Source organism: Homo sapiens, chromosome 2 (assembly GCF_000001405.40).
Source record: "Homo sapiens chromosome 2, GRCh38.p14 Primary Assembly".
Classification (NCBI taxonomy): Eukaryota; Metazoa; Chordata; class Mammalia; order Primates; family Hominidae; genus Homo; species Homo sapiens.
The window spans coordinates 27,281,526-27,308,970 of record NC_000002.12 but is presented as its reverse complement, the minus strand read 5'-3'; the positions used below and the strand labels follow the sequence as shown (position 1 = coordinate 27,308,970).

The window sequence follows — 27,445 nt, the reverse complement described above, 5'->3', positions numbered from 1 at the left end:
TGCTATGATTCCCAGGAGAGAAACTGAACTTTGCTAAACTACTTTGGCAAACTCAAAAGCAGATGGGCCAGCCATTTGTGGTCTGAAAGCACTCGGATGCTAGAGACCCTCTGTTACATGGTGCCTGTCAGACAGCCCTACAATTTGGATCCTGGGGCTGGAAAAAGATAAGAATGCTGGGAGACTTTGGTTGTGGCAGACTGCCTCTCAGTGGGTCCCACTGTGTTGGCTGAGTGCCAGCGGTGGACTCCTGATGCCTGCATTTGCAGAACTGATAGCTGCAGGGAGGCAGTGGGTTCCAGCGGCACAGCGTTCTCACATTTCTGGCCACTTCTAGAGGCAGAGGACGGGGTCAGCACCATGGACAGCCTCACGGTCCCGCCTCCCTTTCGTGTGTCAGAACACGCGACCCGGACTAGTCTGGTCTGGGGACGGCCCTAGTCATTGCTGGCTGTTCTAAGCGGGGCGAGGGACTCCCGTGGGTCCCAGAGCAGTCTTTACGCCCCAGCCGGCTTCTCGCTTTCCTGCGTCCAGTGCTGCTTCCAGCGCTAGCCCCAGGGGCACGAAGGCTGGTGTAGGGAGGTGCGCCCCTCCGGGGGCCCGCCAGCCGTCAGACTCGAAGCTGTGGCTGTCATTGCTTCTACAATCAGTGCATGTTCTTCGCTGACGTCAGTCGGAGCTGTCCTGGCACTATATAAGGCTGGCGACAGCCCCGGGACAGACCCTGTGTTCCCCAAGGCGTCTTCAGCCTGCCCCGAGGGACAGAGACTGGAGCTCAATCTTGGACCGTACAGACGCTCGCCGACAACCTGTGAGTGGCTCAGAGCGTCCGCCCAGCCTCCCCCTGCACCAGGACTCCGCTCAGCTCAGCCACCACGCTCCTCCGGGGAGGGAGGCTGGGTGGAAGGGATGGAACAGCACTGGCGCAGTGGCTGGGGCTGGAGGGCAGGCTGCGGGCATTGGGCGGCGGCCGGAGGGGTCGCCGGGCGAGCGCGGGGAGGGGAGCGGCGGCCTGCAGCTGTCCCAGGCGCACCTCACCCTGCGCTGCCCCTGTGTGTCCAGGGCCGGCGGCACCATGAGGCAGGCGGGACGCGCAGCGCTGCTGGCCGCGCTGCTGCTCCTGGTACAGCTGTGCCCTGGGAGCAGCCAGAGGAGCCCCGAGGCGGCCGGGGTCCAGGACCCGAGTCTGCGCTGGAGCCCCGGGGCACGGAACCAGGGTGGCGGGGCCCGCGCGCTCCTCTTGCTGCTGGCGGAGCGCTTCCCGCGCCGCGCGGGGCCCGGCCGATTGGGACTCGGGACGGCAGGCGAGCGGCCGCGGCGGGACAACCCTTCTCTGTCCATTGACCTCACCTTTCACCTGCTGCGGACCCTGCTGGAGCTGGCGCGGACGCAGAGCCAGCGGGAGCGCGCCGAGCAGAACCGCATCATATTCGACTCGGTGGGCAAGTGATGGCCCGGTTTGGGGCTGCGAAAACGTTGACCCCTTTCCCCCACCCCAGAGTTGGGATGCGGGGCAGAGCCACCAGGGCACTGTCTGCGTGACTATTTTTTAATAAAAGTACTGAAGACCCGTTGGCTTTTGTCGTAGAGGCAGGGCAGTCACAGCAGCGTGGGAACCCGTGGGAAGGTGGGGCCCCCGGGCCAGCGGGAGGGGAACAAAATGCTGTGGGGGGCTCCGAGACAGCGGCTTTCAGCCAGGTCAGCCAGGTGCATGTGGACCCCAAGGGTCCCCAAATCCCCAGGACCTCAGAGGTCCCGGCACCACCGCCCCGCCCTCGGCCCTCTTCCCAGGGCGCTGGGCTCACCAGTTCGCTCCTGGCATCACAGAGGTGCCCAATAGGGGTTCATTTGGCTTCCGCCCCCCAGACGGTCTCAGGTTCTGGGAAGGGCAGGATGGTGGGCGGGTCGCCTTCGAAGCCCAGGCTGCGGGGTTGGGCAGCGAAAGGAGATACGGGTCTGGGACGCTCGAGTTCTTTATTGAGATCCTCCCGGGGCCGGCGCCGATTTGGGTGATGCTGCGGTCTCTGCGCAGATCCTCCCCGACTCTAGCGCGGGCTCTCGAGCAGGGTCGGGTCGGCGCAGGCCTGTGCCCGGGAAAGAAGGCTCGGTGGGCGGGTGCTGCGAAGGCACGAGGCAGCTCGAGCCCCGCTCACTCCGTCCCCCGCCACGTGGGTTTCTCCTCTACTCAGCCTGCCTTGCCTGCCCTCCCAGCACCCCAGAGGAACAGCGGGTGAGGAGGAAAGTGTACTTTTCCGCCCTAGGGGGCGCGCCTTTGTGGCTCCGGGGTTGGGTTGCACCGAGGAGTGGGGGCTCCACGCTACCCGCAGGGAGGGCAATCACTGGGGGAGGGGACGCGAGCACACCAGCCAGGCCCCACCCCAAGCCCCTCAGGCCGCTCTCACCTTAAGGCCCATCGGGCGGCTCTCACCTTAAGGCCCATCCGGCCGCTCTTCCTCCGGCCCCGCGCTGCCCTCCTCTCCGTCTGGGGCCACCTCCTCTTCCTCCCCGGAAGCGCCTGAGCCCAAGGAAGGCCTGGTGAGGTGGAGTCCCTGCCTTTACGGCCATCGTGCCCGCCGCACCCCCCACACAGAGGGTCCGAACCCGTCTCAGCGGCCCTCGGCCACCTCCTTCACCTGGCTGGAAGTCGATGGTCCGCAGCATTTCGGCCACGTGCTCCACCCTTACGGTGAATTGCTCCATGCTCTCATAGCCTGGCTCCGGCCGCCCTGCCAGCTCCACCTTCGACATGGCCCCGACCCTGCAGTGGCCACACGGACTCAGCTGGCAATGCCCCAGCACTCTCAAGCCCCACCCCAGCCAGTGGAGCAGTGCAGCCCCCTCCTTTCCCTTCCCGCTATGCCTACTCACTTATTGATCAGCTCCTTGGCCTGCTGCAGGGAAGAAAAGGAGGGTGAGAGTAAGCACTGGGCCAACCTGGGCAAAGTCCCATTTCTGAATCTCACCACAGTCCTGCGGGGTAGGTGGGAAGGCACGTCCCAATTCGTTAAGCAGAAAACGAACTCAGAGGGGGTGACTTGCCCAAGGTCGTAGGGGCAAGCAGGTGCAAGAGACAAGACTTGAACCCGGGACTCCAGGTACCAAGGCCCTGACTCCAGCCACTGTGCAGCGCTGCCACCCTCCCCTAGAGCCCACCTGGAGATACAGCGCCATTTGTGGCTCTTCCATGGACTGGATGGCAGACTCCACCAGCTTAGAGGAGGCCTCCAGGTGGTCGCCATACTGACGGATGAGGCCGCGGACGCGCTGCAGCTTCTCCTCTTGCTCCCGGGCCAGCGCCTGCAGCAGCTCACCCTTGCGCTCCTCCAGCACTGCGCACAGGCTCTCAAACCTCTGGTTTAACAACTGCTTCTGCCTCCGGCTATTGTCCTAAAAGATGGGGAGCAAGGATGAGGGAAGGCGTGGCTGAGACCCGGTGGCTGGGAAAGCACAGGGTACTCACAGAGAACCAACACAGAAAGTGACCCATCCGTAGTGACACTGTGAGTTAGTGGCTGAGCCAGAACCCAGCCCAGATCTTTTCCATAATAAAAACACAATGCTTTAAAGTAGCTTCACTGATTGCTGTCTATATCCCTAGCCCTGGTTTTTATTTGCATTATTCCATTTAATTCTCAAAAAGAACCCATGAGGTAGCTGGTGTATCATTATCATCATCACTGTTTTATGAGGTTAAACAAAACCAAAGCACAGAGAAGTTAAATAACTGGATTAAAGTTTTGCGGCAAAGCTGGAATGCACACCCAGCAGCCTGGCAAAAGCACCTCCCACCACTCCCAGGACCCCAGAAACTTTCAGACCAGTTTGGCGAGAGGTCAGAGAGGAGCAGTTCTCTTGGGAGCCCGGGGTCCGCAGGCTAGCCAGTTGCTGTTCCTCCCTCCCTCCAGCCCAGGCTCACCTCGATAGTCTGGCACACCTCCTCCATCTGTGTGATCACTGCTTGCACGCGGTCATTGCCTGCCACCAGCATCGCGATGCCATCGCTGAGCTCACTCTGATACACACACAGGTCAGCACTCAGAGCTGGGACCTGGCCTAGAGCTACACCCCTCACCCCAGCCAGGGTTGCCTAGGAGAGGGCTGGCCCTTCCACCTCACCCCCCATAAGGGCATCTACAGCAATCTAGAAGGCTTGAACCATCAAGAGGTACGGAAGCACATTCTAGTGATTCTGGAAGGAGGTGGAGAGAAGCCCTCCACCACTAAGTGGGGAAGGAACAGACAGTCTCCAAACATCCACCAGATACCAGACACTGGGCTAGATACTTTATCTGTAGATTCATTTCTTGCATCGATTCTGAGAAAGTCTTCAAGATTATCCATTGGCATAATATTGCCTCTTCTCTATTCTCTTTATCCTCTCATTCTGGGAATCTGATTAGACCTGTTAGACCTTCTCACTCTCAGCCTTCTCATCATCTCCCAGAACTGCACGTTCTGTTTTTCTTTCAGTCCTCTCATACTGGTCACTAGTTCTGTTTTCAGACAAATCTATCATTCAATTCATTCGTTGATTTTTTTTTAAATTTTTTTTGAGACGGAGTCTTGCTCTGTCACCCAGGCTGGTCTCGAACACCAGGCCTTGTCCTCCTGCCTCAGCCTCCCTAGTCACTGGGTTTACAGGTTCCAGCCACCATGCCCAGCCATCTGTTGAATGTTTTATATCTATCTATCTATATATATATATATATCTGTATATCTATATCTATCTATCTATCTATCTATCTATATATATATATTTGAGACAAGGTCTCACTCTGTCACCAAGGCTGGAGTGCAGTGGCTCGATCTCAGTTCACTGCAGCCTCGACCTTCCAGGCTCAGGTGATCCTCCCACCTCAGCCTCCCAGGTAGCTGGGACTACAGGCGCATGACACCACGTCCGGCTAATTTTTTATATTTTTTTGTAGACGGGGTTTCAACATTTCCCCAGGTTGGTCTCCAACTCCTGGACTCAAGTGATCCTCCCACCTCAGCCTCCCAAAGTGTCGGGATTACCGGCGTGAGCCACCACACCCAGCTACATGGTTGGTTTTTGATATTCTATTATTGTTTGGTTTTTAAAATTTTTCATCTTTTTTTAAAAAGCATTTGATTTATAGTGACTTCCAATTATTTAATAATTCCAATATCTCAGTTGCTTTTGTGGGGGGTCCTAAATCTGTATTTTTTGTTTCTGCTGACTTCACTCATGGATTACGTTTCTCTGTGCACCTTCAATTGTGATCTAATATTTTATTGATATTAATTAATCTAGGGAATACCTACGGGCCTAAATTGTGCATATTTTCCTCTAGGCAGTATTTGCATTTGCCTCTGTTGAAAGCCAGGTGGCGCAATTTACTGCTTTAGCTCCTAGGATCCTAGTTTAACCTACGGTCTCCGGAAACTTTTTTTTTTTTTTAGACGGAGTCTCTCCCTGTTGCCCAGGCTGGAGTGCAATGACGTGATCTCAGCTCACTGCAACCTCCGCCTCCTGGGTTCAAGCGATTCTCCTGCCTCAGCTTCCCGAGTAGCTGGGATTACAGGGCCTGCAACCACGCCCGGCTAATTTTTTGTATCTTTAGTAGAGACGGGATTTCACCATGTTGGCCAGGTCTCAAACTCCTGACCTAGTGATCCGCCCGCCTCGGCCTCCCAAAGTGTTGAGATTACAGGCGTGAGCCACTGCGCCCAGCCGGGTCTCTGGAATCTTAGCTGCAGGTACCCCTCCTTTTAGGGGTTTGGAGGAATAGTCTGGTCTCTCTAGCTCAGTGACATTGCCAGCACTGGTCCTCTGCGAAATGCTGCCTTTTCTGTGCTTGCCACTCAGGGTTCTGCTTTCAGCTCCGCCTTTTCTCTTCGCCCCTCCCCACCCCCACTGATTTCCTTTGCTTCTATGTACCAAGCAATATAATTTGAAAATTCTGTTTTACACAGAATCTAGTTGTGTGATAGAGAGGACCCTGCAAGTATCTCACCCACCATACTGAAGTCTCTGCTTTCATCCATTATCGAATTTTATCCTTATAGCTACTTTCACAAGTAGGCATTTTCACCCTAATTTTACACATGAGGAAAGTGAGGGCCACAAAGGTCCAGTAACATACCTAGGTGACACACCAAGTCAAGCACAGAGCTAGGACTTTGACTCCAATCTGCTTGACTTTTATTTTATTTTCGAGACAGAGTTTCACTCTTTTTGCCCAGGCTGGAGTGCAATGGCGCAATCTCAGCTCACTGTAACCTCCGCCTCTGGAGTTCAAGTGATTCTCCTGCCTCAGCCTCCCGAGTAGCTGGGATTACAGGCGACTGCCACCATGCCCAGCTAATTTTGTATTTTTAGTAGAGAAAGGGTTTCACCATGTTGGCCAGGCTGGTTTGGAACTCCTGACCTTAAGTGATCCGTTCACCTTGGCCTCCCAAAGTGCTGGGATTACAGGCATGAGCCACCACGCCTGGCTTAATCTGCTTGATTTTATTTTTATTTACTTATTTTATTTTAGGTATTATTATTATTATTATTTTTAGACGGAGTCTCGCTCTGTCGCCCAGGCTGGAGTGCAGCGGCCCGATCTTGGCTCACTGCAAGCTCTGCCTCCCAGGTAAACAATTCTGCCTCAGCCTCCCGAGTAGCTGGGACTACAGGCGCCTGCCACCACGCCCGGCTAAGTTTTTTGTATTTTTAGTAGAAATGGGGTTTCACCGTGTTAGCCAGGATGGTCCCGATCTCCTGACCTCGTGATCCACCCACTTTGGCCTCCCAAAGTACTGGGATTACAGGCGTGAGCCACCGCGCCTGGCCTATTTATTTATTTTTGGATGGAGTTTTGCTCTTGTTGCCCAGGCTGGAATGCAATAGCGCAATCTCAGCTCACTGCAACCTCCGCCTCCCGGGTTCAAGCGATTCTCCTGTCTCAGCCTCCCAAGTAGCTGGGATTACAGGCACATGCCACCACACCTGGCTAATTTTTGTATTTTTAGTAGAGACAGGGTTTCATTATATTGGTCAGGCTGGTCTCGAACTCCTGATCGCAGGTGATCCGCCCGCCTCGGCCTCTTAAAGTGCTATGATTGCAGGTGTGAGCCACCGCCCGGCCTGCTTGACTTTAAAACTAAGTGGAGTAACGCTTTGGGAGGCTGAGGTGTCAGGGGCGTTTGAACCAGAGCAACTCCATCTTGAATAGGGGCTGGGTAAAATGAGGCTGAGACCTACTGGGCTGCATTCCCAGATGGTTAAGGCATTCTAAGTCATAGGATGAGATAGGAGGTCGGCACAAGATACAGGTCATACAGACCTTGCTGATAAAACAGGTTGCAGTAAGGAAGCCGGCCAAAACCCACCAAAACCAAGACGCCAATGAGAGCGACCTCTGGTGGTCCTCACTGCTACACTCCCATTAGCTCCATGACAGTTTACTAATGCCATGGCAATGTCAGCAAGTGACCGTATATGTTCTAAAAAGGGAAGGCATGAATAATCTACCTCTTGTTTAGCATATCATCAAGAAATAACCACAAAAATGGGCAACCAGGCTGGACCCGGTAGCTCACACCTATAATCCCAGCACTTTGGGAGGCCAAGGAGAGTGGATCACCTGAGTTCAGGAGTTTGAGACCAGCCTGGCCAACATGGTGAAACCCTGTCTCTATTAAAAATACAAAAATTAGCCAGTCATGGTGGCGGATGCCTGTAATCCCAGATACTTGGGAGGCTGTGGCAGGAGAATCGCTTGAATCTGGGAGGCGGAGGTTGTAGTGAGCTGAGATCGCGCCATTGCATTCCAGCCTGGGCGACAAGAGCGAAACTCCATCTAAAAAAAAAAAAAAAAAAAAAAGAGGGCAACCAGCAGCCCTAGGGGCTGCTCTGTCTATGGAGTGGCCATTGTCTTATTCCTTTACTTTCCTAATAAACTTGCTTTCACTTTACTCTATGGACTAGCCCTGAATTCTTTCTTGCGCGAGATCCAATAACCCTGTCTTGGGGTCTGTGTCAAGACCTCTTTCCTCTAACAGAGGCAGGAGGATGGCTTGAGCCCAGGAATTCAAAACAAGCCTGGGCAACACAGTGAGATCTTGTCTCTTTTTAATATTGTATGTTTGTTTTTGAGACAAGGTCTCACTCTATCACCCAGGCTGGAGTGCCGTGGTGCAATCATGGCTCACTGCAGCCTCAACCTCCCGGGCTCAAGTGATCCTCCCACCTCAGCCTCCCGAGTAGCTGGGACTACAGGCATGCCACCATGCCCAGCTAATTTTTTGTAGAGACAAGGGTCTCACTATGTTACACAGCTCAGGCTGGTCTCAAATTCCTGGACTCAAACAATCCCCCTGCCTCGCTCTTCTAAAGTATTATTAGTACTACTACTACTAATAAATATTATTATTAGTACTACTACTACTAATAAATATTATTATTAGTAGTATCCTCCCAAAGGATTACAAGTGTGAGTCACTGTGCCCTGCCTGAGACCCTGTCTCTATGTAAAAATAAAAAATTAGGTTCGGGCGCAGGGGCTCACGCCTGTAATCCCAGCATTTGGGAGGCCAAGGTGGGTGGATCACCTGAGGTCAGGAGTTCCAGACCAGCCTGGCCAACATGGTGAAGCCCCGTCTCTACTAAAAATACAAAAAATTAGCTGGACATGGTGGTAGGCGCCTATAATCCCAGCTACTCTGGAGGCTGAGGCAGGAGAATTGCTTGAACCTGCGAGGCAGAGGTTACAGTGAGCCGAGATCGTGCCATTGCACTCCAGCCTGGGCAACAAGAGCAAAACTCCATCTCAAAATAAATAAATAAACAAATAAATAAATAAATAAAATAAAATAATTAGCTGGTCATGGTGGCACATGCCTGTAGTTCCAGCTACTTGGGAGATTGAGGTGGTAGGGATCACTTGAGCCCAGGAGTTCAAGGCTGCTGCAGTGAATCACAATCATACCAGTGCATTCCAGCCTGCGCGACAGAGATCCCCACATCTCTTAAAAAATAAATAAATGGAGCTGGGCGCAGTGGCTCACACCTGTAATTCCAGCACTCTGGGAGGCCAAGGTGGACGGATCACATGAGGCCAGGAGTCAAAAAAAAACCAAAAAACAAAAAAGCTGGGTGTGGTGGCACATGCCTGTAATCCCAGGTACTTGGAAGGCTGAGGCATAAGAACAGCTTGAACCCGGGAGGCTGAGGTTGCTGTGAGCCAAGACTGCACCACTGCACTCCAGCCTGGGCGACAGAGCGAGACTCCATCTCAAAATATGATAGATAGATAGATAGATAGATAGATAGATAGATAGATAGGGCTGAGTGCGGTGGCTCACATCTATAATCTTAGTGTTCTGCGAGGCTAAGATGGGAGGATCACTTGAGCTCGGGAGATCAAGGCTGCAGTAAGTTGTGTTTGTGCCACTGCACTCCAGCCTGGGCAACAGAGTGAGATCCTGTTTCTAAATAAATAAAGAAATAAGTAAACAAAAGATAAGTGGAGTAAGAGGCTGACACTGAGACCCTGTCCTAAGCCCCCATCTCTCACATATCTACTCCCTCCCCTGTTTGATACCTTCTGGCGTTTGTAAATGGTGGGCAGTGGGGCCACCTCACAGTCCTTGTGGGCACCGAAGACCTTGCAGAGAGAGCAGGTGGGCACCTCACAGCTCAGGCAGTAAATATTGATCTTCTCTTCTTCATGCTCCTCGCACATGAGGTGCTGCTCAGCCTTGGAGTGCAGCGGCCTAGAGAGGAGTGGGCAGGGGGAGGTGGACCTTAAGCATGAAGGGTCCTAGGAATACCTTCTCTTCAGCCTCCACCAACTGCCACCACCTTCTCCGCCCCTGCAGCTAGTGCTGTGGCTGAACTGGTGAGTACTTCCACAGAGCTCTGAATTTGGGGAACAGAAGGAGCTAAGAGATAGAGGAGGCCTGGATCCGAGAACAGTCTGTATTACAAGGGGGCAGGGAAGTCCCACAGGACAGGAAGTCTTGGAGGGTTAGCGAGGATCTTGCTGGTGGACTGCCAGCCTCTCCCAGGAGGAGAGGGTAGGAGTGAAGTACTGGCTAGGGAATCAGAGACTGCCCTCTCTGGGAGGCCTGAGGCAAGTCCCTCTCCGGATCCAGTCCTATGGTCTCTAGACAGAACAGGCAGGTTGACCGTTTCAATCTCTCCCTTTTGGCTCTGATGGGTTCCTTGGCTGTGTCCCAAGCCCTGTCATGAGAGAGGCAAGAGACTCTGGTGGCTCACCTGGATGACTCCTGCTTGTAAATGTCGATAATGTTCTCCACTAGCAGGTTTCGCTGCAGGCCGTAGACACCGTGTCTGTCCAGGACAACCTCATGCCTGCACGATGGGCAGCGGAAACGGCCTCCTGAAGACACAGTGGTGGAGCCCCGGGACTGCCATAGAGGATTCGAGGCCTGCAGGGACAGATGGCTTGAGAGAACAGGCACGGGGAGGCATGAAGGGACTCGGAGGAGGCAGGGGGAAAGGGCTTGGGGGCTAGGGAGTAGGAACTTGATGGAGGGGAAGATGTCAGCTCTTCTCTGTGGCTGGATCCACCTCTGAGAGCAGCGCACGGTGGACGGCCATGGAGACCCTGCTTCCCACCTTTGCCTCATTATTCAGCCCACCTCCTAGAGTGCCCCTGCATCCAGAACTCAGCTTTGGTCAAGGCATAGTCAGGATGGGATCTCTCCAAAGGGGTCCAGCTTGGAGCCATGGGGAGACATTGGTCTTGGCAATAAGGCTGAGGCAGGAAATGAACTCTGAGTGGTGCGACCAATGTCTTCCAGTCTGGGGCCCTCTTGGGCCACAACTGGAGGAGATTCTCTGCAGTCCTGGGCAGGGGTACAAGCAGATACAAGTGCTCAACAATGGGGTTCACAAACTGTAACTAGCCAGGTAATTCTAGAAAATTGCTCCAGGAACTGGAAGTCAGGAGTCCTGGGTTCTTGTGCTATCTCTGATGCCCTCCCCCCGGCCTTTTTTTTTTTTTTTTTTTTTGAGACAGGTTCTTTCTCTGATGCCCAGGCTGGAGTGCAGTAGTGGGATCACAGCTCACCGCAGCCTCGACCTCCTGGGCTCAAGCAATCCTCCCATCTCAGTCTTCTGAGTAGCTGGGACTAGAGGTGTGTGCCACCATGCCCAGATAATTTTTTTTATTTTTAGTAGAGATGAAGTATCACTATGTTGCCCAGGCTGGTCTTAAACTCCTGACCTCAAGTGACCCTCCCACCTCGGCCTCCCAAATTGCTGGGATTATAGGCGTAAGCCACCATGCCCAACCTCTTAAGTATATAAATTTAGGCAGGTATTCAACCTCTGTAAAGCTGAGGATAAAATTATTCATTTATAGTGTGCCAGGTAGTTGCTGGACTCTGAGTTAAAGATACAAAGAAAATGCATCCTGTCCTAAGGACAAGCACCTGACAACTGCATCCAGCAGGATGGGTGTTGTGATAGGGGTAGGCTCAGAAGGAGGACTTAACAGACACCCATCACTTCCTCCGGCTTACATCTCTTGCCTAGAGTAGTTGCTCCATCCTATCCTAGAAGGGAGATCCCTGCCACAGATGATTGATTCAGAGCTAAGGAGGTGATCACCTGACCCAAGCAGAACCAATCAAATATTCTCTCCTAAGAATTTGGACTTGAGACTCAGGGGCTTAGCTGGCTACGCCATGTTCTGCTTAGGAATTGAATAGACCTGTGGAATTGGGCTAAGAGCTGACATCACGGCCACCCTGGAAAGTGTAAGGGGTCAGAAACTGAACAGAGAAGGCTGGTCTACAGAGAAAAGAGTCTATGTGTGGGGAGATGCAGAGATGAAAGACTGGCAGACACTGCTTATTGTACCCTGACGTTCACCACCTTTTCTTCTTTAATAATAAGTGCCCTGAGTTTTAACAAGACACATGGTATAAAGGGCTGGGTGTGGTGGCTCATGCCTGTAATCCCAGCACTTTGGGAGGCCGAGGTGGGCAGATCACTTGAGCTCAGGAGTTTGAGACCAGCCTGGGCAACATAGCAAGAACTCATCTCTACTAAAAATAAAAAAATTAGCTGGGCACGGTGGTGCACACCTGTAGTCCCAGCCACTTGGGAGGCTGAGGCAGGAGAATTGCTTGAAACCAGGAGACAGAGGCTGCAGTGAGCTGAGATAGTACCACTGCACTCCAGCCTGGGCAACAGAGGGAAACTCCATCTCAAAAAAACAAACCAAAAAACCCATGAATCTAAGCCTCCCTTCCAGCTGGGTGTGGCCAATTGGCTGTGCTCTGGGATGTAGATGCAAATGTTTTGTGTAATTTGTAGGAAATTGCACAAACCGTCTTTCATGGGAGGGGCATGCCCTGCTCCTCCCCTTTTCTCCTGCCTGCTGGCTGGAAAGAAGACGGGATGGCTCAAGTTGAAGCAGCCGTCTTGAGCCATGAAGTGGCAGCCACATGTTGAGAATGGTAACGAGATGAAAGGAGGTCTCTGATGAGGCAGTCCTGCACTGTCCACCCATACTTTCACTTGAGAATAAAGCAAATTTTTACCCTCTTTAAGCCACTGTTATTCTGGGGTTTCTGCCACTTAGAACAGAACCTAATCCCAACTGGCTGGAAGATTATGCATTCCTAGAGAGTAATGGAGACAGTGGTCACCTATGAGCTAGCATAGTGAGATGCACTTCCTACAACTGGGATGCATGAACTTCTCCAAACCCTTACACCATACACAAACCAGAAGACAGTTTGGAAGGCCCCTTGCGTGTGTGCAGCAACACCCCATCATGCACAGAGTGCAGCCAAGTCAAGGGTCTTGTTTGATCCTTTGGTAGCAAGGGCTGTAGGCAAGGCAGGAAACGTGGACCCACTGTGAAGTGAGCAGCTTATCTTGGGGAGAGTAACTGGTGTGTGCCATAAATATCACATCTTTCTTGGGATTTCTTGAGAATCATGTTAACCTTTAAGCCCATCATAAACCTGGGGCAGATTAGTTTGAGATAATTCAAGGCATGTTTGTACATCTGCCTTCTCAGTAGCTAGAAATGTATGAATATTGTTGAGTTTAGTTTAGGGAATGCGTTAAAGTGTATAATCACTTGCCTTTTGTTTGCTTAATACAATTACTTTTCAATATTTAGAACCCAAGTGAGGAAAGAGGTGTTGGGAGAACTCTAAGGCTGCAGTCTCCTGTCTTTCTTATCTTTGATTTGCTGATGGCAAGCATATAGAGATATTTGAATGGGAGGAAGGGGGACCTATATCCCACAGCAAAGATAAACTCTTGGGCAGCCGCTCTCCCCAACCTCCATCCCTCACTGCACCCTTCCTCTTCCTGAGCCACAAAGGCAGGGATACTCATTACTTAACATTCAACAAATGTTTTGAGACCAGGCGCGCTGGCTCATGCCCGTAATCCCAGCACTTTGGGAGGCCGAGGTGGGTGGATCATGAGGTCAAGAGTTCGAGACCAGCCTGGCCAACACGGTGAAATCCCGTCTCTACTAAAAATACAAAAATTAGCTGGGTGCGGTGGCAGGCGCCTGTTATCCCAGATACTTTGGGAGGCTGAGGCAAGAGAATTGCTTGAACCCGGGAGGTGGAGGCTGCAGTGAGCCAAGATCATACCATTGCACTCCAGCCTGGGAGACAAGAGTGAAACTCCGTCTCAAAAAAAATATGTTTTGAGGGCTTATCATGTGTCAAGCATCGTGTCATGGGTTTTCCAGACATTGTTGTATTTATTCCTCAAGAACTTCTTGTAAAGATGGTTGAGGATCCCAGCTACTCGGGAGGCTGAGGCACAAGAATCACTCAAACCCTGGAGTCGAACCCAGGAGGCCGAGGTTGCAATGAGCCGAGATTGCGCCATTGCACTCCAACCTGGGCGACAGAGCAGGACTCTGTCTCAAAAAACAAACAAACAAAAAAAGATGGTCGAGGAGGTGAACAATCACTCCTAACTTAGTCTACAAGAAATAGAATAATAATGGCTAACATCTACTGAGCCAGGATTTGCTCTAAGTCTTTCATTTGTATTAATTCACTTAATCCTCATATCAACCCTGAAGTAGGTAATACTCTTTTTTTTTTTTTTTTTTTTTGAGATGGAGTCTTGCTCTGTCGCCCAGGCCGGAGTGCAGTGGTGCAATCTCAGCTCACTGCAACCTCCATCTCCTGGGTTCAAGCGATTCCCCTGCCTCAGCCTCCCAAGCAGCTGGGACTACAGGCGCCTGCCACTATGTCCGGCTAATTTTTTTGTATTTTAGTAGAGACAGGGTTTCACCATGTTGGCCAGATGGTCTCAATCTCCTGACCTCATGATCCGCCCACCTCAGCCTCCCAAAGTGCTGGGATTACAGGCGTGAGCCACCATGCCTGGCCCTGAAGTAGGTAATAGTCTTAGCCCCATTTCAAGGATGAGGAAATTGTGTCTCAGTGAAATTAAATAAATTGTACACGGTCATGAGCTAATAGGTGGCAAAGCCAGTACTGGAACTTAGGCACTCTGACTCCAGAGCCTGTCCTAATAATCATTGTGTTCCATTGTCAGACACAATAAAACTTAGGCCAGGCTGTGCACGGTGGCTCATGACTGTAATCCCAACACTTTGGGAGGTCAAGGCAGCAGGATGGCTTGAGTGCAGGAGTTCAAGACCAGCCTGGGCAGTACAGTGAAACCACGTCTCTACAAAAAGAAGAAAAAGCAAGATGGCTCATGCCTTTAGTCCCAGGTATTTGGGAGGCTGAGGTGGGAGGATCACTTGAGCCCAGGAAGTCAAGGCTGCAGTGAGCTGTGATCATGCCACTGCACTACAGCATGGGTGACAGAGGGAGACCTGTCTCAAAAACAAAACAAACAAAAAACAAAACAAAAAAACCCTTAGAGCTAATATTCATTTCTCTGAGTCTCAGGCAGAGGCAGTTTCTTTTACTGTTGTTGTTGTTGTTATTATTGTTGTTGTTGTTTTTGAGACAGAGTCTCACTCTGTCGTCGGGCTGGAGTGCAGTGGCAGGATCTTGGCTCACTGCCACCTCCACCTCCCGGGTTCAAGCGATTCTCCTGCCTCAGCCTCCTGAGTAGCTGGGAGTACAGGCACGTGCCACCATGCCCGGCTAATTTTTTGCATTTTTAGTAGAGATGGGGTTTCCCCATGTTGGCCAGGCTGGTCTTGAACTCCTGACCTCAGGTGATCCACCCACCTCGGCCTCCCAAAGTGCTGGGATTACAGGTGTGAGCCACCTCACCTGGCCGTTTTTTGTTTTTGTTTTTTAAGTAAAAAAAGTAAAAGGGTAATGAAGGAACAAACCTCAAACCTTCACAGAGGAAAGAAACTACAGCCTGAAAATCAACTATGCAACTGTGGACTAAAGCTATTTAAGCAAAGATCAACAAAAGATGACTCATCAAATTAAAACCCTGTGTGCCATGGAGCTCTATAAGGGCCCTGCTTTCAACCAGAATGACCTGTTTGTCTGTGAAATGGAGAGGAAATAGCTCAAATCTCAGGGGAGACCTCCTCCCATGGACCTGTGTGGGCCTCTATGGTAGATAAATCACCGGATTCTGCGTGAAAAATACTCCAAGACAACACAACCAAATTGAGACACTCAACTACCTATTAATTCAGGTCATACCCCTCTATTCACCAAAGAAGGCACAGAACTAAAGAGAGATTGCAAAACCAATGACAACATCCAACCAGGCAGCTTATATTTAAGAGGACAGTGAAAGAAAGCCAAGATAAACACAGTGGGTTGAGTCAGGAATTCACCTTCAGCTCCAGATAAAAGTACCCTGATAAAAGGGGAGTGATAAGCAGACAGAATCCAACAAAAGATGCAAACCAGATAATACAAAAAGAAAAGAAAAAAGAAAGCTTGACAAACAAGGGACAGATACTCCAAGAATCAATACCATTTCGATATACCATTTTAAAAGAAATAACAAAAACAAAGAGATATAAGTGATCAAAACTGGAGAAGAAAAGAGAGCTGGCAGAATTAAGGAAAGAAATCAAGTAAATATCAACACAGAAAAAAAATCCACATTTGACAGGAGAATGGATGATGCTGATAAAAGTCACATAGATTGCAATAGAAATTATCAGCTAAAAGTAACCAGGTCTGCAGTCTGTAACATGGATAAACCTTGAAGACATTATGCTAAGCAAAATAAGCCAGACACAAAAGGACAAATATTGTATGATTCCTCTTAAATGAGGTACCTGGCATAGGATGGATGGTGGTTGCCAGTTGCTGGAAGGAGGGGGAGTAGGGAGGTATTGTTTAAGGGGTGTGGGGTTTCAGTTTGGGGTGGTGATAAAGTTCTGGGGATGGATAGTGGTGACAGTTTCACAACAATGTAAATGTATGTAATGCCATTGAACTGTACATTTAAAAGGTTAAGGTGGTACATTTCATGTTATGTGCATTTTACAAAAATTAAAAAAAATTTTTTGAGACAAGATCTCTCTCTCTGTCGTCTCAACTTCCTGGGATCGAGGGATCCTCTCACCTCAGCCTCCCAAGTGGCTGGGACTGCAGGTGTGCCACCATGCCCAGCTAATTTTTAAAAAAAGTTTCTGCAGAGATAGGGTCTTGCTAGTTGCCCAGGCTGATGTCAAACTCCTGGCCTCAAGCGATCCTCCTACCTCAGCCTCCCAAAGTGCTGGAATTTCAGGGGTGAGACCCCATGCCAAGCTTACAATTTTTAGAAAGAAAAAAGTAATCAGGACTTGGGCTATCTTGGCCAATGTCTTCCTTCAAACTCCCCACAGCCAGAACTGACTTCAGGACTTGACCTGAGGGAGGCACACTAACACCACCTCTTCAACACCCTCCCACCTGCCAAAGCAATTTCTTTAGCAGCTCATCGCATTGGTTAGTCATTGCATTTATTCTGGAGCCCAGAAGGCTAAGAGGCATCAGTACTCAGGCAGTCCAACCCAAGTCCTTTGAAAAGTTCCTGTCTTGGGAGAGAGAAATCGGGAGTGTGTGAGCTCAGGGTGCAGGGCGGTGGGGAGAGGCTGCACCTCTGCTTTCCCACCGTCTTGCTCAGGGCTGGTGCTGCTCCCTGCTGCTGACACCACAGTCCCGTATTTTGCGTGTAGCTTTCATCCCCCAGTCCCAGAGTCCCCTCCTGATTCACAAGTCCAATTTCTCCTGCCATATCTCCGTCGGGCCTGGCTGGCTTTCATCTTAATCTCCAGGGCAGCCCTTCCCTTCTGTGATTGCTTCAGCAATGCTAGCCCCCAGCCAAATCCTAACCCCACTTCCTTTGCTAGTCTTTCTGGCCAATATTTACATACATGTGCTTTTTGGCATTAAGACTACATTTGACTTGTAATAAAATAGTAAAATTTATCCTTCAGACTTTCCAGGGCCTCTGGCTCATATTGCTTAGACGCCCTCATTGTGTTTCCCAAAATATGGTATAATACTGATGACAAGCATGAAGATTGGAGGTGGTATGGGGATGGATGTTCAAGATTTTTTATGTGTTAATTCTAATGCATATTAGGAAAAAAACAGTCCACAAAAAACTGACAATTTTTCATGGATTACATTGTATAGAATAAGGATAAAGTAAATATTTAAGGTTTAAAAGTCATTTTTTGTTTGTTTGTTTTTGTTTTGCGACAGGGTTTCACTCCTGTAGCCCAGGCTAGAATGCAGTGGCACGATCTCGGCTCACTGCAACCTCTGCTTCCCGGGCTCAAGTGATTCTCCAGCCTCAGCCTCCTGAGTAGCTGGGACTATAGGCGTTCACCACCATGCCCAGCTAATTTCTTTATATTTTAGTAGAGACAGGGTTTCACCATGTTGGCCAGGCTGCTCTCAAACTCCTGAACTCAAGTGATCTGCCTACCTTGGCCTCCCAAAGTTCTGGGATTATAGGTGTGAGCCAGTGCACCTAGCCTAAAAGTGAGTGTTTTAAAATAGAACTATTAAATTATAGTACAGGTAGTACACAGCTATGGCAAAAATCAGGAAGGTGAAATAAGAATGAAATTTGCTAACCATTTCCTGACTTTCTCTACCAAAATTTGTCTGACTTGTGTTCCAAACCTTTTGCAAATGTTGAGTGGCTACTTTGAGAAAGTCTTCTATACTGGCTATATGGGTCAAATTGTTGCCCCTTATAGGTAACATCTCTGGTTTTTAACAGAAGCATTTAATGGAGCACAATATAGGGGAAGCAGCACAAAACCACAGCAGTTTTAGCAGCCCGTGACTTTGTCACCAACGGAAATCACAGCTGTTTTCATATCGCATTACAGTTGTTGCTAAAATTTCAAAAAATAATGTATGCTTATCATTACTTCTTTATTTATTTATTTATTTTTAGATGGAGTCTTGCTCTGTCACCCAGGCTAGGATGCAGTGGCACAATCTCGGCTCACTGCAACTTCTACCTCCTGGGTTCAAGCGATTCTCTTGCCTCAGCTAGGCGCCCGCCACCATGCCCGGCTAATTTTTTGATTTTTAGTAGAGACGGGGTTTCACCGTGTTAGCCAGGATGGTCTCCATCTCCTGACCTCGTGATCTGCCCGCCTCTCCCTCCCATAGTGCTGGGATTACAGGCATGAGCCACTGGGCCCGGCTGCTTATCACTACTTCTAAATTACAGCAGTTCAGACTCACTGCTAGACCTCATTCTTTAATGTGTTAGTTAAGAAGCACATGTATTACTCCATCAAATGTGCTTTAAATATTTTGGTGATTATATTCCAGTGTTTCCAAAGCTTTCTTCATTATTGTCCCCTCTGGGAGACTTTTTAATTAAAAAAATTTTTTTTAAGAGATAGTGTCTCTTAAAAAGATAGCACGGTGGCTCACACCTGTAATTCTAGAACTTTGGAAGGCCGAGGTGGGTGGATCACTTGAGGTCAGGAGTTTGAGACCAGCCTGGCCAACATGATGAGACCCTGTCTCTACTAAAAATACAAAAATTAGCCAGGCATGGTAGCTTGCACCTGTAATCCCAGCTACTCGGGAAGCTGAGGCATGAGAATCACTTGAACCTGGGAGGTGGAGGTTGCAGTGAGCCGAAATCAAGCCACCGCACTCCAGCCTGGGCTACTGAGCGAGACTCTGTCTCAAAAAAAAAAAAAAAAAAAAAAAAAAAAAGAGAAAGAGAGAGATAGTGTCTCACTATGTTGCTCAGGCTGGCCTCAAACTCCTAGGCTCAAGCGATCCTCCTGCTTCAGCCTCCTGAGTACCTGAGACTGCAGGTGTGTGCCACTGCTCAGGATCCTTTTTAGACATTTCCCCCAATAGCTCCCATCCCCCTCATTAAATATTAATATCATAGATGTATCTGTTTATGTACCGCATGCTTATCTATCCTTTACACATAAAAAGAGTAAAATCTGGCCATGTGCAGTGGCTCATGCCTGTAATCCCAGCACTCTGGGAGGCCGAGGCGGGCAGATCACCAGAGGTCAGGAGTTTTGAGACCAGCCTGACCAACATGGAGAAACCCTGTCTCTACTAAAAATACAAAATTAGCCAGGTGTGGTGGCATGTGTCTGTAATCCCAGCGACTTGGGAGGCTGAGGCAGGAGAATTGCTTGAACCCGGGAGGCAGAGGTTGTGGTGAGCTGAGATCACGCCATTGCACTCCAGCCTTGGCAACAAGAGCCCCCTTCCAAGAATTAATTTTTTCCCCTTGAGAGCAATATCACTCCCATTAAGAATACATGCTGTATTCTAATGCCATCAGTTTCCTTTATAACCATATGTATTATATTGCATGCATTTAGAAATATTGTTATTAGAAAGGATCCACAGGTTTCACACACTGACATTGGTCCACGGCACACACAAAAAATTACTCCCTACCCTGATTTTAAGTCCCTCAATTTTCTCATCACAAATAACGATTTTATACTCTAAGGGATACATGACAACTTCCTTAATACATCTTCATAGCTGACAGTCTCTACATTAGGCTAAAGATCTTTCAGCTGACTAATATCCAGTTAGAAAAATCCTATCTTCTGCTTCTGTTTATCTTTCCATTTCAAGACTAAGAGATAACTGATTGGTTCTATTATACACATAAATGTCCTGTTCTTTCCTTAAATCTTACATTTATGCAAGGAAGCCAGCCCCATAAAGTAAAATTTCACGTGCCAATGATGTGATGTGTAGAGGAAATTCCATCACTCTAGGAAACATAACAGAACACCTAGATTTATGTCCTTAGTCTGTCCCTTTGTTTGTGTGACTGTGACCTGTTTCCTATGTTCTCTTCTGTAAAACGGAGATAACATCCATTCGATCTAACTCAAATGGAATCATGTTTGTGAATGTATTCTATAAATTATAAGGCACTGCACAAACACAGAGGACTGTTAACAATCCTAATCTAGACCTTAAAAAGAAATGACCACACAGAACCACAGGGTACGAAATGACTGTTCTTTCTCCACTGTGAAGGATAAGATGGAATGGAACAAATAAATGGAATTTAATTCTAGGCTATGTTCAAGGCTGTTGTGTGGAATATATGCCATGAGCTCTCTCTCTTTTAGGCTTTACGGTGCCTTCTATTTCCTTTGTAATGTTCCATAGCATCTAATAGAAATGTTCCATCTAGAAAGATGCTCTGTAAATGCAGCTAGTCTAGCAAATCCATACTTATGTCAGAATGTTTTCCCTCTTCCCTGGCTATCCAGAGAGGTGCTAATTTGGGACACAGGCTCTGGATGCAATGGGGCTTTTTGGAGGCTATTTCCCTCAACCTGAAGGCCTGGCCAGTGATGAATGATGGACCATCCAAGTTCTGTGAGCCAGACACTCAGAATATGCTGGAAAAACCTTGGGAAAACGGTGGGCAGAAGACCAGACATTTGGAGAAAAGCTGAAGCGCCTGAGAAGAATCCAGGTTTTGGTAAAAGCTGAGCTGCAGGTATAAGAGGGACTGTAAACAGAGGGCTAGCTATGGGCGGTAGAACCTAGGGAAGAGCTTGGCCCAAGGGGCTGGTAAACCAAGCCCTACTGCTTGAAAGGAGGAGTGATAAGCAGAAGAGTGGGCCAAATTAGGACACTGGTCACAGAATGGAAAGCCCTCAAAAAATGGAAATCCACAAAAATATTTTTCGACTTTGTGAAACCAAATCGTTAGAATTGCAAGAGATGTTAAAGGTCAGTTTAAGGCCAGGTGCAGTGGCTCACGCCTATAACCCCAGAGCTTTTGGAGGCTGAACTGAGAGGATCGCTTGAGGCCAGGAGTTTGAGACCAGCTTGGGCAACATAGTAAGACTTTGTCTGTACAAAAACATTTTTTTTTTAATTAGCTGAGTGTGGTGGTACATGCCTGTAATCCTAGCTACACGAAAGGCTGAGGCAGAAGGACTGTTTGAGCCCAGGAGTTCAAGGTTACAGTGGACTATGATCGTGCCACTGCACTCCAGCCTGGGTGACAGAGTGAGACCCTGTCTCTGGGAAAAAAAAAATCAGTTTAAAACACCCTTTTCGGTCAGGAACAGTGGCTCATGCCTGTAATCCTGGCATTTTGGGAGGCTGAGGTGGGAGGATCCTTTGAGTCCAGGAGTTGGAGAACAACCTGGGCAACATAGAGAGACCCTTGTCTCTACAAAAAATTACAAAAAAATTAGCCAGGCATAGTGGTGCACACCTGTGGTCCCAGCTACTCAGGGGGCTGAGGTAGGAGGGATGGCTAGAGGCTGGGAAGTCGAGGCTGCAGTGAGCCATCATCATGCCACTGCACTTAACCTGGGTGATAGAATGAGACCCTGTCTCAAAAATAAAGAAAGAAAGAAAACACCCTTTTCATTTATAGTTATGTAAACAGGCTTGAAGTGGTGAAATAGCCTGATATGCATTGTGTGGCAAATTAACAAAGAAACCCGTCAGAGGAGAATCCAGGAGTGCTAAGCCTTAGTCTAGGTTTTCGTTCTCACTAAATCAAGATCTTCCCTACAGAAGTAAGAGCCCTAACCCTGCTACAAATTTAATGCAATTCACAAAATTTTAGTGAACCAATTTTGCATCAGGGAGACCTGCCCAAAGTTGGACTGAAGAAATCCTGGTGCCTTCAGAATGGGTAGAAGTGGTTGAGGAGGCAGGCTGGGTAGGATCTTCTCTGGCAGGCCTGTACCTGATGACACCTGGTCCTAACAACTAAAGGATAAAGAAATGGAATTTGGGTGGCGCGAAACAAAAGTCATCTCTCTCAGACTGCCCCTTGTTAGAGAAGGAGGCTTCTTTCTTGACAATCCCCCCTCTGCAAGTCCCTCTGTAGACAGACCTCCTCCAGAAAAGCTGTTCCAGAACAACCTTCTTACAAGGCCTTTTGGTTGTCTGTTAAATTACAACAGGTTGCAGGCTCAAAAACAAGTGCCCACAGTGAAGTGGAGGCAGGTATAAAAATAAACTGAAGGCTTGCTTTAAAGCCGTTTAGGAGTGAATAGAATTTACAAATACAGAAACACATGGGAAGATGTTTGTGTCAAATTCCCACACCAACAGCTTTCCTTTAGTGGAAGTTCTTGGTAGCTGAGTGGGTGCAAGTGTGGGGAAAGAAGGAGGAAGAAATTAGAGGGGGTTAATGTGGTGTCTTGGTGTTTCATTCTGTTTCAATTCAGAGAGAAAGAGTTGTTACAGCTCTAAAAAGAATTACATTAAGATGGCCACTATGTAAAAATGTTTGCGGACATGGGCTTGAATGTAATATGCAAAAATTGCTGGGCTTGGTGGTGTGCACTCCAGAGGCTGAGGCAGGAAGATAACTTGAGCCCAGGAGTTCAAGATCAGTCTGGGTAACATAATGTGACACCATCTCAAAAAAAAAAAAATAATATGCAAAAATAAAAATAACTGTGTTGGGGAGGTAAGATTATGGATGATTTCCTCCCAACCCCTTAATACTGTTCAACTAACAGTATTTTCTTTTTTGTAGAGATGAGGTCTCACTATGTTGCCCAGGCTGGTCTTAAATTCCTGGGCTCAAGTGATCCTCCTGTCTCAGCCTCCCAAAGTGTTGGGATTACAGGCATGAGCCACCTTACGTAGCCAGTATTTTTAAATAAATTGTTTTCAAATTTTGCTTCCTGGCTGTCTAGTTAACTTGGTCTTATAAAATCACAATTCCCAAAAACTCTTGTTTGTTGTCCATCACGGCAGTTTTTAGGACAACAAAACACAGAAAACCATCTAAATGTTTTAGAGGACAGATTATTTAAATAGACTGTGGTCCAGTCATAACAATGAAAACTACACAGCTATTTAAAAACGAAGACATAAATCTGAATGGTGGATATGGAACAATCACCCACAGCGAGTAAGTGAACAAAGGCAGGTGGGGGGCGATGGGTCTCGCCTGAGAACACATATACATGCAAATGTGCCGATTTGTGGAAATTTTCTGGAAGTATTCCCAAGAAAGTTGGTAATAGTTACTTCTATCTGGTGAGACAACTGAGGGTCTGAGGTGAATAGCAGATTTGCTTTTCATGATATGAACTCCTATACTGCTTGAAAACAGTATGTTTACATGTTACAAATTCTAAGTGATATACTGGTATCACTTTGATAACCGTTAACTTTCTAGGCAATGCTCTAAGGGTATTCTTCCTAAGTGGTTTGAAGGTAGAGGAAAAGTCCTATTCTTTCCAAAAGTCCTATTCTTGCCCCATACTTAGAAAACAGACAATCTGATTATGCCTACAGTTGTCAAAATGTGGAGGCAATGTGCGAAAAAACTAAATATGCTCATCTTTCAGAGGGAGATCTACTGAGATATATTGAGATACACAGATCTAAGTGCAGCTGAAGAACTGGGTCAGCCTCCCACCAGGCCCTCCCAAATAAGCAGCAAGGGATGAGCTGTTCACTCTTCCTCCTTGGAGGGCCCAAGGGTGCTTTGCACCTCAAAAGATACACCACTCCAGATCCACAGAGCCACCCCAAAGCCCTGGGTATCATGTTATCTCCAAATATTCTGTACAGGATTTGCCCCAAGCCATTCCAAGGTCTCTCTGAGCCCAGATCCGTATTCTAGAGCTTTCTGGAACTGAAACAGTGTGCTTGGATAGAGAGAGTTGACTTAAATAAGCAGGTCACTTAAACACATTCTAGCCTCCATGTATGGGGCCTATTCCTCTGCCAGATGACAGAGGGACCCAGGAATGCACTTGGCCCTTCTGACCACTTTTCTACAGGACACATCACCTTAGCTTTCAAAACTTCTCTTTGCTTTCACACATTTCAAGTTCCAGTGTGAGGATGTTTCACTGTAAGTTCATGAGAAAGGATGGCAAAATCTTTCTGCCATTTCCCTCCTAGGCATCTCAGCCTGAAGGATGTTCAGAGTTACTTAGACCAAGGAAAAACCAAGATGGTGGGCAAAGCATTGCCTCTCATGTAGGACTTCATGCCCAGGACGAGGAGGCACAGCATTTGGTCTAGGCCCCCCGAGAGGGAAAATCTACTGGCTCTGAGATACTCTGGAGCTGAATAATGGCAGGTTTGGACACATAAAGAATAGGAGAGGGAATGGGTCTCAATGGGAAGATGGCAGGAGAGACCACAGAGTGCTGGTCTTCAGTGAAGGTGGCACAGAGCAGACACACAAGGTGTGGGTCACAGGGTACATTGTGGGATGGCCTGACCTAGCCAGCCCATTCCTTTCCAAAACAAGCTGCCCCAAGGAACTTAAAAAGGGAAGTATTTTCTTGGTTAGGTTAAAAATCACTTGTGTTTAACACATTTCCTCATCATTTCTGACACAGATGAAGAATACTTGTTTGGGATGTTCCATGTCACTGACACACATACTAAACCAGCCAGCTCTGGTCTATTCGGGGTTTGTTTTTGTTTTTGTTTTTTTGAGATGGAGTCTTGCTCTGTCGCCCAGGTCAGAGTGCAGTGGCATGATCTCGGCTCAAGGCAACCTCCACCTCCTGGGTTCAAGTGATTCTCCTGCCTCAGCCTCCTGAGTAGCTGGGACTACAGGCGCCTGCAACCACGCCCGGCTAATTTTTGTATTTTTGGTAGAGATGGGGTTTTACCATATTGGCCAAGCTGGTCTTGAACTCCTGACCTCGTGATCTGCTGGCCTCAGCTTCCCAAAGTGTTGGGATTACAGGCGTGAGCCACTGCACCTGGCCATATTCAGGGCTTTTACTTAACGGCAAGGCCGTGTGTGTGTGTGTGTGTGTGTGTGTGTGTGTGTGTGCGCGCGTGTGTGTGTGTGTGCCTTTGCCCCTCACTCTCCCTGATCTCTGTTCCATTTTATAGCCTACTAGAACCTCCCCAGTAGCACAGGAAAAAAAAAAAAAGCCCACTTATAATCCATTCTGGTATATGCTGCTTTTATTTCTAAACCAGTGGCTATACTAGTATCTGTGAATTTGATTAGCTCTGCTTGGCCCCATGACCACAGATAAAACAAAACTGGCTGGACTTCTGAGAAGTAAATTTCTTTGCCTTCTCCCTGCTTGTCAAGTGACCTCAGTAGCTTTTAACCAGTAGGCCTCTTTACTGAACAATCTGGAGGGTAACAGGTATGAACTCAAGTTGGGGAGAGTTCCCAGTCTCCTGCCCACTATGTCTAACTCTGTCACCCACAATGGATGCCTTCAACTTTCCTTAAATACAAATAGTTTTACTGCCATTATGGAGCTTTCTCACAGGGTCGGGTTTTGTTTGTTTGTTTTTTAACGTTTCATTATCTCATTAATCTTTTCTCCGTATTTTCCACAATGCTCTCGAAGTCTGAAACTCCAAACTGGAATGCAGAGTCTGGCACAGGCTCTTATAAAGCCCGGTGTGGGATACCCTCCCTCCCAGTTTCCACAGGGTCTACTTTCCTTGGTAGATCCCAGCACTCCAGCTGCCGTCTATGCACAGGCTGTACCTGCCAGCCTGCAGGGCAGCTGCTGACTCATGCTTGCTCTGGGATTTGCTTGGACCCCAGCCCTTCTGCTCTCCAGCCACAACAGCCACCACCCACCTCAGAGAGCACTCTATCCATCACCTTCTGGGGTCTCAGCTCTGACCTGATCAGTCCCCCACAGGTCTGCATTGCTTTACCTGGCCCTGCCCCGTCCCTGGCACCCACCTGGAAGACGTCGTTGGCACATTTGCGGCACAGGTTGTGTTGGCAGGGCAGGATCACCACTGGTTTGGAGAACATCTCCAGGCAGATGGGGCAGATGAGCTGCTTCTCCAGGTTGTCCATGCTGTGTGCATCCCCTAGCAGCGGCTTGAAACCCACTGTGAAGTTCATCCCCTCGGTGGTCGTGCCTGGCCTGGGCCCTGCTCCTGGCCTTCACTCACTGCCTGTAGACCCTTCCTCGCTTAGATGGCCTCTGGATTCCCTTCTGTGGCTCACTCTTGAAATAGCTCTGCTTTCTCTCCTGTCCCTTTAACAACTTGTCTCGTCCCAGATAGCAGTCTTCGGACAGTCTCTACTTTCTGCTCTGCACCCTCGCCAGGCTCACGTAGTTTTAGCTATCCCTCTCTCTCTGTAAAATTCTCCTTTTGTTTCCCAAATGACTCTCTCTTGTTCACTCTGTGGGTAGCACTGTTTGTCCCTTACTCCCCAGAGAGCAGATTAATTTTACTGTGGGGGTTGGGAGACAAGGGGCATCTGCATGACATTCCAATTCCCAATTTAGCTCATGTAAGGCGAGCCACAGCTGTCATGGAGTGAGTGACCCTGACTCACTCAGGAATGGGTGACTCCCTTGAGCAAGGGCAGGGGTGAGTGCCACTGCTTACAGTGAAAGGTGGGTCAGCAAAGGTGCTGCCCTCTCACTCTGAAGGCTCCTCTCAGCCCGGGACCCCTGTTCTGGCTTGGGCCCTTCTTCCAGGACAGTGACACAGAATCTAAATCTGCCTGTGTGAGAGGCACCCATACATAGCTCAGGGTGGGAGGAAAGATCTTGCCAGACTTAGAGTCAGTAGCGGTTGCCTCCTCCACAGGCTCAGCCAGTGACCCTGGTCCTCCTCCTCAAGACTGTGTGATTCAGAACAGCAGCTCCAGGGACTACATCAAGCCTCTTGTCCAACACCTCTGGCTCATTTTTGTTCTTCCCTGGCCTTTTCTTATATCACCCTAGGAAAAGAAGCTCAAGAGGCTAGAAATGACTGTTGTGCCAAGGCCTGGACCTACCTATGAGCATGCCCCCGAGGAAATGTGGGATTCTGGTCCGTGAACACATCCCTGGAGCCACTCCAAGGACTCAAATTTGTTAGGAAATTGGGAGAAGGTGAGCTGGGCAGAAAGGACCTGAATGCCAGGGACCTATTTTGGGCACCCAGGGAATCAATCTCCAGGGAAATTTTAGAGCACTGACAAAGTCATAATCACAAGGCTCCGGGAAGCCTCTGACCCAGCTCCACAGTTGTCCAGGACTCCTACTCTCCAAGCCAGGCTTGCCCCACTTGTGAGCACTGGTCTTCTTTTTCTCCTACAAGTCTTCTCCACTTG

General features: G+C 48.9%; 2 protein-coding genes across 6 annotated transcripts, besides 1 other annotated feature; one reads left to right on the top strand and one right to left on the bottom strand.

The window, feature by feature from the left end:
- Positions 526-1,571, top strand: UCN (urocortin). Its single transcript, NM_003353.4, has 2 exons — positions 526-811; positions 1,063-1,571. The coding sequence occupies exon 2, from the start codon at positions 1,076-1,078 to the stop codon at positions 1,448-1,450; it is 375 nt and encodes a 124-aa protein (NP_003344.1). The 5' UTR covers positions 526-811; positions 1,063-1,075; the 3' UTR covers positions 1,451-1,571.
- Positions 1,536-26,542, bottom strand: TRIM54 (tripartite motif containing 54). Of its 5 annotated transcripts, NM_032546.4 has the most exons (10): positions 26,072-26,542; positions 10,232-10,404; positions 9,555-9,726; positions 9,316-9,441; positions 3,917-4,012; positions 3,154-3,387; positions 2,869-2,891; positions 2,634-2,758; positions 2,429-2,515; positions 1,536-2,084 (listed from the first exon to the last, which is right to left on the bottom strand). In NM_032546.4, the coding sequence occupies exons 1-9, from the start codon at positions 26,237-26,239 to the stop codon at positions 2,430-2,432; spliced, it is 1,203 nt and encodes a 400-aa protein (NP_115935.3). In that variant the 5' UTR covers positions 26,240-26,542; the 3' UTR covers positions 1,536-2,084; position 2,429. The 5 variants fall into 5 exon arrangements, with proteins under 5 accessions (NP_115935.3, XP_024308778.1, NP_912730.2 ...); XM_024453010.1 differs by lacking the exon at positions 9,316-9,441 and having other exon boundaries at positions 2,403-2,515; NM_187841.3 differs by lacking the exon at positions 9,316-9,441.
- Positions 7,286-7,491: a silencer, noted in NCBI's record as "fragment chr2:27524348-27524553 (GRCh37/hg19 assembly coordinates)". NCBI's record gives its function as "represses an EF-1alpha promoter that drives an FKBP-Casp9 reporter gene in an ReSE screen in HepG2 liver carcinoma cells {active_cell/tissue: HepG2}" and the evidence as "EXISTENCE:reporter gene assay evidence [ECO:0000049][PMID:32094911]".
- Positions 26,543-27,445: the final 903 nt, after the last annotated feature.

What these genes read in the sequence shown, in the direction of transcription:
- UCN (NM_003353.4), top strand. Translation starts at nt 1,076, where the DNA reads ATGAGGCAGGCGGGACGCGCAGCGCTGCTGGCCGCGCTGCTGCTCCTG.
- TRIM54 (NM_032546.4), bottom strand. Translation starts at nt 26,239, where the DNA reads ATGAACTTCACAGTGGGTTTCAAGCCGCTGCTAGGGGATGCACACAGC. An exon ending in TACAAGCAGGAGTCATCCAG is followed by an intron (nt 9,727 to 10,231) that starts GTGAGCCACCAG and finishes ACTCCTCTCTAG; the next exon opens with GCCGCTGCACTCCAAGGCTG. An exon ending in CCATTTACAAACGCCAGAAG is followed by an intron (nt 9,442 to 9,554) that starts GTATCAAACAGG and finishes TTATTTATTTAG; the next exon opens with AAACAGGATCTCACTCTGTT.